Source organism: Homo sapiens, chromosome X (genome assembly GCF_000001405.40).
Source record: "Homo sapiens chromosome X, GRCh38.p14 Primary Assembly".
In the NCBI taxonomy this organism is placed as follows: Eukaryota; Metazoa; Chordata; class Mammalia; order Primates; family Hominidae; genus Homo; species Homo sapiens.
In genome coordinates, this window is record NC_000023.11 from 19,880,778 (window position 1) to 19,893,283 (window position 12,506).

General features: G+C 48.8%; 1 protein-coding gene across 7 annotated transcripts in view, besides 4 other annotated features; it reads right to left on the minus strand.

Annotated features, from left to right (window-relative positions):
- Window positions 1-6,823, minus strand: part of SH3KBP1 (SH3 domain containing kinase binding protein 1) — a 353,624-nt gene extending 346,801 nt beyond the window's left edge. For all 7 annotated transcript variants that reach the window (NM_001353890.2, NM_031892.3, NM_001353892.2 and 4 more), the window contains exon 1: window positions 6,530-6,823. In NM_001353890.2, the coding sequence (NP_001340819.1) occupies window positions 6,530-6,533 (4 nt within the window). In that variant the 5' untranslated portion in view covers window positions 6,534-6,823. The remainder of the gene's footprint in view (window positions 1-6,529) is intronic.
- Window positions 6,225-6,364: a silencer, noted in NCBI's record as "silent region_20690". NCBI's record gives its function as "represses an Ori minimal core promoter by ATAC-STARR-seq in GM12878 lymphoblastoid cells {active_cell/tissue: GM12878}" and the evidence as "EXISTENCE:reporter gene assay evidence [ECO:0000049][PMID:35858748]".
- Window positions 6,845-6,914: a silencer, noted in NCBI's record as "silent region_20691". NCBI's record gives its function as "represses an Ori minimal core promoter by ATAC-STARR-seq in GM12878 lymphoblastoid cells {active_cell/tissue: GM12878}" and the evidence as "EXISTENCE:reporter gene assay evidence [ECO:0000049][PMID:35858748]".
- Window positions 6,975-7,274: a silencer, noted in NCBI's record as "silent region_20692". NCBI's record gives its function as "represses an Ori minimal core promoter by ATAC-STARR-seq in GM12878 lymphoblastoid cells {active_cell/tissue: GM12878}" and the evidence as "EXISTENCE:reporter gene assay evidence [ECO:0000049][PMID:35858748]".
- Window positions 9,440-9,489: an enhancer, noted in NCBI's record as "active region_29476". NCBI's record gives its function as "activates an Ori minimal core promoter by ATAC-STARR-seq in GM12878 lymphoblastoid cells {active_cell/tissue: GM12878}" and the evidence as "EXISTENCE:reporter gene assay evidence [ECO:0000049][PMID:35858748]".

The following is a 12,506-nucleotide window of genomic DNA, read 5'->3' on the forward strand; positions in this document are numbered from 1 at the left end:
ACAATGGTCCTCATAAAAGGCAGGCAGGTGGCTCGGTGAAAGATAGGAGATGCCAGGACTGAAGCAGAGGTTGGAGGGCTGGGGTACGAGTGAAGGAGGTAAAGGCACTGCAGGCAGCCTCTAGAAGCCGGGCAAGGCAGGGAAATGAATTCCTCCAGAAAGAACGCAACCCTGCTGACACCTTGATATCGACCCGGTAAGATCCATTTTGAACTTCCGACCTCTAGAACTATAAGATTACACATTTGTGCTGTTTCAAGCCACTAGGTTCACAGTGATTTGTTACTGCAGCAATAGGAAACTGATACAGGGAGTCTACAAGGCAGAGGAGAGAGTGACATCTGTTCCCCATGAAGGGAAATACGTGGGCAAAGTCTCAGAGACCTGAATGAGCTTAGAATAAGCGAAAGCATTGGTGGCTGCCGAGCTTCACGAAGGCTTCACTAAGGCATTCAGGATCTAAAGCATTTGCAGAAGGGTAGACACATAGGGTCAATTCCAGAGCCACTTAGGGCTTGACTGTACATCAGAAGGGGCAGGGAAAGGGGAAGGAACAAGAGGCAAGGAACAATAGCAGCGTCCCTGTGGAAGTGACAGGAAAGATGGTGATACCCTCAATGAAATGGGAAGTAAAAAGAGGCAGGGCAGGCATTACAGAGGAGAAATGCTGTGCTTAGTTTGCAACATGCTCAGTCTGAGGCGTCTAAGACACACCTGGGTGAAGTTAGCTAGGAGAGGATACCAATGATAATCAGCTCAACCAATGTTAATCTTAGGCTTACAGTGTACCAGGCACAGGAACACAATGACCAAACTGACGAGGTTCCTGCCCTTGTGGTGCTTATAGTGGGTGGGTCCTGAGCTCAGAACAGAGACCAAGACTGGGGACAGATGTGGGCATCGTCAATAGGCGACACCTGAATTGGCAAAGTGGCTGCAATCACTCAAGGACACACTAAACATAAGGGGACCAGAGATGACAGCATTCCACAGGTGGACAGGGGTGGAAGAAAAGAAGGGAGGACTGTAGGAGAAATCAGGAAAAAATAGGGTGTTCTAGAAGACAAAGACTTCCAGTCTTCAATCTCAAGCTTCAGTGAAGTCAAACATGGTGAGGCCTGAGACCATGTACTTCGTGATTGGAGAAGGATCATTCAGGATAACCTCAGCATGATCAGTTTCTAGAACACAATCAAGGCAGTGCCAGAGTCCTGGTAGGTGTAGGGCAGGCTATGTGAGGAAAGGGGAAGAGTGGGACAAGCTGTCTCAAAAAAACAGCAGTGAAGAGGAAAGGTGAATGCAAGATGTAACTTTAAGGCGGCTTTATTAATAAACTGTAAAAATCTAAATAGAACCAAAGATGGAATCTTCCCAAGGAGGGACAGGGCAGTTGACTATGAACACACAGTTATCCAAGAGAAACCAGGAAACGTCAGGTCCACCACAGGGCAGTGTAGTGGTCAGAATAACATTCCCTCCCCGCCCCCAGATGCCCACATCCTAAAGCCCAGGATGTGTGAATATTAGGTTACAAGGCAAAGGGGAGTTAAACTTACTGATCAGCTGACCTGGAGATGAGGAGATGAGCCTGGAATATCCAGGTGGACCCAATGTCATCACAGGAGTCCATACACATGGAAAAGAGGGGCAGAAGAGTCAGTAACAATGATGTGATGGGAGAGAGAGCTGCCCAGCCGTTGCTGGCTTTGGAGAGAGGAAGAGGCCACAAGCAAAGGAATGCCAATTCTGGAAGCTGGAAAAGGCAAGGAAAGGGATTCCCTCCTACAGCCTCCAGAAGGAATGCAGCTCTGCTGACTTCGTGATTGTCGCCCAGTGACGGATGATAAACATGTGATGTCTCCAGGCACTAAGTCTGTGGTAGGTACAGCAGCAATCAGAAACGAATACAGGTACCAGGTATAGAAAATCATGAACAAATATTACACCCTGGAATAATGCAAACAGTGTAACTTAAAGTCCCCTTTAAAGAGGATGGAGGGTAAAGGATGCTGGGAAGTGCCTGTGTGATACTCTGGTAAAAGTCTCAGAGACTAACACTGAGATCGGCTGCCTAGTGTCACTAATGCCTAGGTGTTGGAGGTCTGGGTTGGACTGGATTCGTGGAAGAATCCACACTGTACTGTCTTAACACAAGAAGTGTGTTTTGAAGTAGGAGTATGTCTTTCTCCTCTAAGGTAATGAGTCACTTATAACAGTACTTATAACATAAGACTTATAATAGTCTTATGAACAGAGTGCCTTGTGTACCCCAGTGAACCACGAGCTCCGGATGTCAGCTTTCTCAACTGTAAGGCAAGGAGGGGTTCTACACTGGACTATGATCAGAACCACCTGGAGGACTCATGAAAATGCAGATTGCTGGGCCCCATCCCCAGCATTCCTGATTCAGGAGGTCTGCTGGAATGAAGCCAGAGAATCTGTATCTCTAACGGGTTGCAGGGGAGGCTGTGCTACTGGCCTGGGGCCACCCTCTGAGAAGCGCTGCATTAGAGGCTCTCCTTCTCTAACACTAAGTATTTGGGCTATTTTCCTGTTCTGCGTCTTTCCCATTAGCACTGACTTCATGGTTCTCAGCAGCTTGCTCTTTCTCTGTCACTCTCTCTTCCCTTAGTATAGCATTTCAGATGTCCATCGTGCTTAGCATTGAACAACAGTCCAGGCTATACCTGGTTGATATGAAGTAGCCACAGATATACCTAGAAAGCCATTTTCCTCCCCCACTGCCTCCGATTCCCTGCCCCTGCCTGTCACATAGTTAACTCGGAGAAAGAGCAGTTCTTCTGGCTGGGAGCTGGCCAGGCACCCACAGCTGGGCCAGGGTGTCCTGTTGAACAGAAACAATTCCCTAGAAAACCAACATCAGACAAGGCCACTCTGCGACCAGGATGGAATAAGATGAAAACAAGACCACACATTAATCATGTCTGAACACGGACAAAACATGCACCTTGTCCAAACCACACACATGACCAAATATCCCCCAATCCTGGATAATGCAAATGACTGCTGCTGCTTTACCAACCATAGCTGTGGCCTGCCTCCAATGTTCCCTGCTCCTAGAGAACATTTGTTAAAATACCCAATCACAAATTCCCCCTGGTAGCATCCAATCCAAAGTAATGCCCAGCTTCCTTAAACACGCCCTCAAGCCACCTGACACAGGTGCAAGCCCTCTAAGTCATCCTTCCTTGTACCATCTTACTGAGATGCCCCGCGGTTCCCACGGTGCTCGTTTTCAGTCTCTGCCACAAGAACCAGGTGTGGCTGGAGGGCAGTGATGACTCATACTCAACCAGATTTCTGCTCAAACACAATCTCCTCTAAGACACTGTCCTGGGCACTCTCCAGGCTAAGTCAGATTGGCCTTCTCCACTCATCTTTCATGCGCTCTACTATGGCTTTCAGCTACATACTGCCATGAGAATTGCATTCAAGTCAGCCTTCATTAGACTGAGAAGCCCAAAGTGTCATGTCTCTGTTCTGCACCTGTTCTTAGCACAGTGCCTATGCAAAGAAGATCAACAAACATTGGATGGATGGATGGATGGATAGATGAACAAATACTGCTGTATGCAAAATACATTAAAAACAACTACAAACTCAAGAGTTGATGAGAGAATGTCAGTAACGCCAAAAGAACTGAAGTAGTAAGAGAAGAAACCACCAAGGTTTGTGTAACCAGAGCCACAGCAAGCTTTTGCTCGTGCCAAGATGGATAGAAGTGGGTAAAGCTTATGTACAATTAAGGTGGGAGCCTTTTCTTCCATTTCTAACTCAAGACATTTGTACAGACCAACACATTATGTTCATTTTAGCTTTAGTTTAGCATACAGCAGTCTACCGCCAATACAATAAATACATTGCCAAAGGCTATCCAAACTTTGTTGTTACTCTGGAATTAAACAGAAATCATTTGTGGGCTTGCAAACCCTTCACTACTCACAGATTTGGGTCACCATAATATCTGTTTAATTGTAATTATAAGAGGCTTTCTCTGTGTCTGGCACTGTAGGCATGCATCTCCTAGCAAGTTCAGAGGGCACATTCTGATGGGCTTTTATAAGAGGCCATGTTGCAACTAACCAGCTTCACTTCAGGGTTAGGGATTTGGTTCTTTTCTGTTATTTTTCAGAAAACGAAATATAAGATACAGTTTTACTATGTTATCCATCAAGAGAAAACTCATTATCAGGCCAGGTAAGAATATAAGTGTATCAGAATCAGGCACAGTGGTGTGAGCGTGCAGTCCCAGCTACTTGGGAAGATCTGGAGTCCAGGAGTTCAAATCCATCCTGGGCAACACAGCGAGACCCTCCCTCTTAAAAAAGAATAAAATTGCATCAAATTGATAAACTGGATAAATCTGAAAACCAGAGACTTGGGGGAAAGGGTGGGCCTCTGTCTGCATACACACAACCTCAGCCCATTAGATCACTCCATTGGAAGACATACAGAATGAACCGTTAAATAACTGCACTTCATTACAAATATACTGCTGGAGATGCTTTCAAAAGAGCAGGTGATTTTTAGCCACAAACTACTATAAGCACCTTAAATCCCACTATAAACATGAATTAAATTACATTCGTTTTGACATTATCACCTCTAAGTATTAACTCCTGAAATAAATGAAAATCGATGCCCCCTCCCCCTGCAATAATGGTTGCAGTAAAGATTAAGTACAAAAGGACTAAAAACTACAGGAGCACTCTATTTTTCGTAGGAAGTTCTGAAGAATGAAAACAGTTCAAATCTGAAAAATAGGTCTGATTCTTCTTAAATGAGACTCAGTCCCCTTCTCATTGAGATACAGAAAGCACAGTCTGGCCATGGGAGAAGACATTTGGATTAACTTCTTTTTGTGCATAACCCTCTCGGTGACCCACCCAAAATGAAAGGTGATCAAAACAGAATTTTTGGTTACCTCGGGAGAAATTAACCCATTACTAAAGTGGCCTGTAAGGTTTAAAGTATATACTTCTGCCAATGAACTAAATCATCTTATGGGCCAAAGCAAAACAAGAGTGAGCTAAGTGTTCTGTCCCCAGCAGAGGAGGAGGATTTCATGCCCCTCATTCATTCATTCAACAAATATTTAGGTCCTGCTCTGTGCCACACACCAAAAGTGCTGAGCAAACTATGCAACACTGTGCTGTCCCTATGGTCACAGAGCTTACAGTAGAGGAGATAACTGTTACGCACAAATATGTAATACTGCTACGAAAAAAAAAGGTGTTGTATGAGAAAATGGAACAGGAACCAATTTAGACTACAGGTGGGAGAGAAGGGCACTGTGAAAAAAGTGACATTTAAGCCAAGGGGACAACAGATCACCACTACTTAGAAAAGGAAAACCTTTTTTGGCAAATGACCACAAATGGGATTTTAACTTTGCCTGTCAACAACGGACTGGGTTAAACCTCCTCTTTTCCAATCCTTCAGGCTTTCTGAACATCCTGACTAGTGTACTGGAATCCTATTACCTGAACACAGAAAGGTCTCACTTTATTATGATTTATTATTATCTGCAGCCTTCCTATGCCTGGCCTAGGAACATCCAAAAATAATCTGCCAGAGGCTGAAAAACAGAAGCTGGCTGTCAGCAAGAACATTACCTGGGTAGACCAAACATTTAATAGCCCAAGTAATCATAAGTGCCTTGCCAATAAAGTGGCAGCTTCTCTGGGCAGCAAGGTGGTTCCAATGCTCCGGGGTCTAAATCAAATGGGACCCAGGGGGTTCAAAGGTTAGTTGGCTACTTCGAACTGATGTTTACTCAGTAAATCAAAGACCGGATCACCATTTCCAGGTCCCAGACCCTGAAGACTTAAAGGACAGTATGGGAAGTGGCCTTTTAGCATCACGGAGCAGAGAGCTCGCCAGGCTGGAGGAAGGCAGCAGCGAAAGGGTCGGGGCCGGGAGGAAGGGGGGCGCAAGGAGAGGAGCGTCAGGTGCTCTGGACCCCGGGACTGCGAGCCAGACCAGGAACTGGGGCGTTTCCCGCCCCACCCCCCAACCCCTGTCAACCCCCAGCAAAGGCAACCCAGCCCCCTCCAAGACCCCGAGGTTCCAGCTTCCCCCGAGACAGGACCAGGAAGACACCAGCAGCCCCGCGCAGGGCCGGAGCCCACCAGGTCCGGGTGCCCGTGTCCGCAGCGCAGAGGAGGGCGCGCTCGGGTGCAAAAATGGCCAAGACAAAACTCTCCCCGCCCACCCGAAAAACCAACCACACCCCCTGCATCCCTCAGCCCGAGCCGCCCGGGGCCAGCCCCCGTGATCGTCTGCTCAGGCCCCCGCGGGTTCCCGTCGGCGCCGCGCGCGGGCTCGGCGGGCACACGGGCGCAAGTGGGAGTGAATGGGGGTGCGCGAGGCAGGCGAGGGCGCCCACCGCGGTGTCCCCCGTCCGGACCCTGCCCCCGGGGCGCCCTCCCGGGCTCCGCGGTTCTGGGACTGGCGCGCCGCCCTCAAGGCTGAAGTGGACGCCCGGACGCGGGCGGCCCCCACTCACCCATTGGCGTCGAGCCGGGCCGGGCCGCCGAGGCAGCGTGAAAGTTGGCGGAGGCGGGCGTGGGGGTTGGGGCGCCGGGATCGGGGCGCTGGGATCCAGGCGCGAGGGTCCGGACGCGGCGGCGGCTGGGCCGGCTTCTTCCTCAGTGGCGGCGGCGGCGGCTCAGCGCCGCCCGCTGCTGCCTCTGCTGCTGCTGCCGCTGCTGCCCCGGGGCGACTCCTGCTGCTGCTGTTGCATCGCGGCCCAATGCGCCCGGCTGCGCCGGGTTTCCTGCTCCCCGCGAGTGGAAATTGCGAAAAAAAAAAAAAAAAAAAAAAAAAAAAAAAAAAAAAAAAAAAAAAAAACAGCGCCGCCCAGCCCAGCGCCCGGCAGCCGCGGCCGCGCCGCCCGCTCTCCCCTCCTCCTCAGCGCTGCCGCGAGGCTCCTGCAGCTCCGCCTGCCGGGGACGCGCGGCCGCCGGGCGGGGGCGGGGCCGGAGAGGGGCGGGGCCGGGGCCGGGGCCGCGTCGGGGCAGGCGCCGGGGGCGTCCCTGCGGCTGAGGGGCTTGGGCGCCCTCCTCACCGCCCGCGCCAGAGGCACCCCTCTCCGCGCGGCTGCCACCCACCCGCAGCGGCTGGGCTGACGCCCCGGGAAGTGCCGCGAGACTCCTCGAGACCGGAGGAGAGGGGCTTCTTGGGGGAGGGGCGTGGGAGTGCAGGGGCACGTGGAGAAGGAGGAGAAGGGGGCTGAGCGGGAGGGGGCGACAAGAGGTGGAGGACGGGCTGGGGATGGAGACCAGGGCAGGCCCGGGGCCAAACGCCTGACCAGGGTGATGGCAGGTGGCCCTGGGGCATCGAGGCAATCTGGAATGAGTTTTCCCGGGGGGCTGTTGGAGGGGAAGGAAAAGGGTCCCTTGGAAGGGAGAGAAACGCGGCGTCCCTTCGGTGGGGCGTGGGAACGCAGGCAGGCCAGGTGCGAGTTCCGCACAGAGGAGGCGGTGGCACTGACGTGGGGAAAAACGGGCGAAGGACGCAGCGGGGCCGAGGGGACGCATCGCCTCGCTGGGACCCGCCTAAGCCCCGCCCCAGTGCCTGGGCCAGGTGCGGTTCGGGTGTTCAGGAATGTTCCCGAGCTCTGACGTTCCCAGGAATCCGCTGAGATGAGGGCTGGCTCCCTCCCTAGCAGGCATTATTGTGCCTTACTGACTCCCAGACCTGGACGGCCGACCCTTGAGTGGGCGCTAAAATGTTAACAGGGAATCCGTGGGCATTCGTGGGCAATTCAGAAGCTCCGTTTTGGGTCCATTCACCACCACACCTTTCGCCATAGATACTCTGCCTGCCACCACATTCCTCTACCGGCCCGTTATTTCCTTTTCCCTTTCCACCATCTGGTGGTAGGAAGCGATAGTGAACTACATGGGAGACATTTAGGCAAAGAGCACGTAAGACAATAGAGAAATTACATCAGTGGCCCCTGGAAATGGAGGAGGCTGAGGGCTAGTGGACTCAAAAGGGACAAATGAAAGCCGACCCCCTACCCAAGAGAGGGGCTGTCTCCATACCTCACCTGTGTTGGCGGGGCAACTCTTGTAAATTGGTTACCGTCCTGGGATTTCTGTAGAAAATTGTTCTTATAACTGTTTCATGAGTTTTTCAAAAAACCTCAAAGTCAGGGTCTTACAAACAAGAGATCAGTAGCATCATCTTTCTAAATACCGTTCATGTGTGTCAAACCGATCGAAATAGGAGACTAATCAAGGGACAAGAGGCCCATCCACACAGAGGCTGCAATTGAAGTCCTAGTGTCATCAATATCAGACTCCTAAAAAAGGGATCAGAGAACACGGAGATTAAGAATGTGAAGGCCGGGCGCGGTGGCTCACGCCTGTAATCCCAGCACTTTGGGAGGCCGAGGCGGGCGGATCACGAGGTCAGGAGATCGAGACCATCCTGGCTAACATGGTGAAACCCGGTCTCTACTAAAAAATACAAAAAATTAGCTGGGTGTTGTGACGGGCGCCTGTAGTCCCAGCTACTCCGGAGGCTGAGGCAAGAGAATGGTGTGAACCCGGGAGGTGGAGCTTGCAGTGAGCCAAGATCGTGCCACTGCACTCCAGACTGGGCGACAGAGCGAGACTCCGTCTCAGAAAAAAAGAAAAGAAAAGAATGTGAAGTGGGCCAGGCACGGTGGCTCACGCCTGTAAACCCAGCACCTTGAGAGGCCGAGGTGGGCGGATCACCTGAGGTCAGGAGTTCAAGACCAGGCTGACCAACATGGCGAGCCCCTCTCTCTACTAAAAATACAAAAATTAGCCAGGCGTGGTGGTGCATGCCTTAGTCCTAACTCCGTGGGAGGCTGAGGCACAAGAATTGTTTGAACCTGGGAGGTGGAGGTTGCAGTGAGCCTAGATGGCGCCACTATACTCCAGCCTGGACGACAGAGCGAAAAACTCCGTCTCAAAAAAAAAAAAAAAAAAAAAGAATGTGAAATGTTGAAGGCAGGGATGATGAATACTCAAATATTCCTCCTCCAGGCACCCTGGTGCCTCACTCATTACATGTCTTGTTATATCATGTTCTAATCAGGGCAATCAAGCCTTCTGATACCATCTTAGAGTTGACAAACACTGAAACTCACAGAGCCTGGATAAACCCTCTGCTACTGGGACATTTTTTTTCCCCCAACCCCAGAAGAACTGGTATGGGGGTCTGCTCAATTCCAGAGGTGGTTCTCTTTGGTAAGGCCGTATCAGTGGGTCATCCTAACCCTCTCTCAAAGAGCCTCAGACCCCTGAAAGTGATGGGGTACATTTCAACATGGCAACAGTTGTGCTGGCCTTGCAGTGGACTGTTATCTGGAGTGCTGAAGATTCTTGGCTGGTTGCCCAGTGCATTCTCACAATGATGAGTCAAAAGTCTTTGAACATTGTTGATGATACCTTCCCATAGCTAAACTTACCCAGGCATCACAGAGGCCACTACACCTAAACCAGCAGATGGGGTGCGGGAACCCTGTCGGCTCAAAGAAAAAGAAAAAATCAGCAGTTTGTCTTATGTCCTGCTTGGTCTCTCTGTCCTATGTGGAGAAGACAGTCTTCTCATGGAATTTTATTTCCAACTTCACACAGGTGAACACAGATCACTTGAAATTTGGGGGGTTTGTTTCGTTTTGTTGTCTTTTTTTTTTTTTTTTCTGAGACAGGGTCTCACGGTCACTCAGGCTGGAGGGTAGTGGCGTGATCATGGCTCACTGCAGCCTCAACCTCCTGGGCTCAAGTGATCCTCCCACCTCAGCCTCCCAAATAGCTGGGACTACAGGCACGTGCCATCTCACCCGGCTAATTTTTGTAGTTTTTGTAGAGATGAGGTCTCACTATGTTGCCCACGCTGGTCTTAAACTCCTGGGCTCAAATGATCCTCCCCCGCCTCGGTGTCCCAAAGTGTTGGGATTACAGGCTGAGCCACTGCGCCCGACTTGCTTGAAGTTTTGAGTCTTGTTTATTCTCTGGTCTATTTCAAGGCATATCTTTTCCTTCTTGGACAGGAATGCGGTGTCGCTCCTCCTTGATCTGCTTCCTGCGTGGTCAAATTTGCGTTACCACAAAAGAAAGACTGATGGCAAGACAATATTTTTGAAAATCCCTGAGCTATGTCCTAATTTTATTTTTTATTTTTTTGTTTTTGAGATGGACTTTCACTCTTGTTGCCCAGGCTGGAGTGCAATGGTGGGATCTTGGCTCACTGCAACCTCCACCTCCCGGGTTTAAGCGATTCTCCTGCCTCAGACTCCCGCGTATCTGGGATTACAGGCATGCGCTACCACGCCCAGCTAATTTTGTATTTTTAGTAGAGATGGGGTTTCACCTTGTTGGCCAGGCTGGTCTTGAACTCCTGACCTCAGGTGATCCACCCGCCTTGGCCTCCCAAAGTGCTGGGATTACAGACGTGAGCCATCGCACCGGGACATGTGCCCTAATTTTAATGCCTTAACTAAACAAAGTTGTGGTGATTCTATCCAAAACACTATAGTTTATTTTTCATTTTAAGTTTCTCTGACTTATGAAAATGAACCTTCCATTTTTTCACTTATTGTTTAGTTCTTCTGAATTGTTCCTATTGTCCTTTCATTTTTCCTTGGAGAAACTTTTGCTGACCAGCACAAGGGAAGTTAATATCAAGATTCAGATCCAGCTGCTGACATGAATAGATGCATAATTTCTCATCCTGCCTCCCTCTTACAAGAGTATCTTTTAACAAAATGGTTATTGCAATATTTCAAATGATGTAAATTCATCTCATGAATATTTCTAGAGAAATAGGATTTTATTTAATACATCTTTGTCCCACTGAACTCCCATTTCCACCAGAGGAGATTATGCAGTTTGGAAATAGAAAGTATCGGAGCTGTTACACTTAAAATGATATCGTATGACTTAAAAGGCACCGCTATGTTGCTCAGTAGTAGTAACATATTTTTGGATAGAAACTGAAGGTGTGGCCGGCCATGGTGGCTCATGCCTGTAATCTCAGCACTTTGGGAGGCCGACGTGGGTAGATCACTTGAACCCAGGAGTTTCAGACCAGCCTGGACAACATAGTGAGATCCTGTCTCTACAAAAAATACAAAAATTAGTCGGATGAGGTGGCGCACACCTGTAGTCCCAGCTACTCAGAAGGTTGAAATGGGAGGATCACTTGAGCCTGGGAGGTTGAGGCTGCAGTGAGCCGTGACTGCACCACTGCATTCCAGCCTGGGTGACAGAGCAAGACCCTGTCTCAAAAAAAAAGAAAAAATTGAAGGTGGGTGAGCTTCTGTCTTTCATACTTGCTATCTCTGAGTACTCGGACTTAACATCTGTAATTTGCCTTTAATGAACAATACTTTGATAACCTTTAATATTGTCTTTACATTAATATAAATTACGTGCTGAGTGCTGTACAAAAGACACTCATTGTATAGTGCTTCTGATGAACTTTATGGAGAAATGTAAAAATCTCACAGTGCCAGAAAGTAAAGATGTACTCAACAAAGGTGACAGGGCACAGCAGAAGGGCACAGGAGCCAACCCCAAAGGGCTCCCAAAGGCCAAAGCTGGAGCAATTCAAGCAACAAAATAATTAATGATTGTATTGGAAGAAAATTAATATCTTTGAGTCTATAGAAATACAACTAAATAACTGACTAGGGGAAAATATCAAGGAGAAGGGACAAGTCTTCCTTACAGAGGAATTCCAATTAAAGTGTAGGAGAAATGAGAGAAAGGGAAAAGCATCATTAGAACATCACAGTAACTGCTAATATAGGCATGATCCAACTACCGTTCACAAATGAGTGGGTGAAACTTTAAGGAGAAACAGAATATTTGCATAGCCTCAAAGTATTTTCCCTGAAATAAATATGTCTTCATATTTAAAATGGGGGAAATAGTAACTTTACTTGGAGAACTCTGGCAAACAGCACTTTTTTTTTTCTTTCTTTCTCTTTTATTATACTTTAAGTTGTGGGATACATGTGCAAAATGTGCAGGTTTGTTACATAGGTATACACGTGCCATGGTGGTTTGCTGCACCCATCAACCCGTCATCTATATTAGGTATTTCTCCTAAGGCTATCCCTCCCCTAGCGCCCCACTACCCAAGAGGCCCTGGTGTGTGATGTTCCCCTCCCTGTGTCCATGTGTTCTCATTGTTCAGCTCCCACTTGTGAGTGAGAACATGCAATGTTTGGTTTTCTGTTCCTATGTTAGTTTGCTGAGAATGATGGTTTCCAGCTTCATCCATGTCCCTGCAAAGACATGAACTCATCCTTTTTATGGCTGCATAGTATTCCATGGTGTATATGTGCCACATTTTCTTTATTCTATCATTGATGGGCATTTGGGTTGGTTCCAAGTCTCTGCTATTGTGAATAGTGCTTCTTTTGAGGAGTGTCTGTTCACTTTAAGCAAGCAGTCATGGCTCTGTGCTGATGGCTTTTTTTTTTTCTTTTTTTAGAC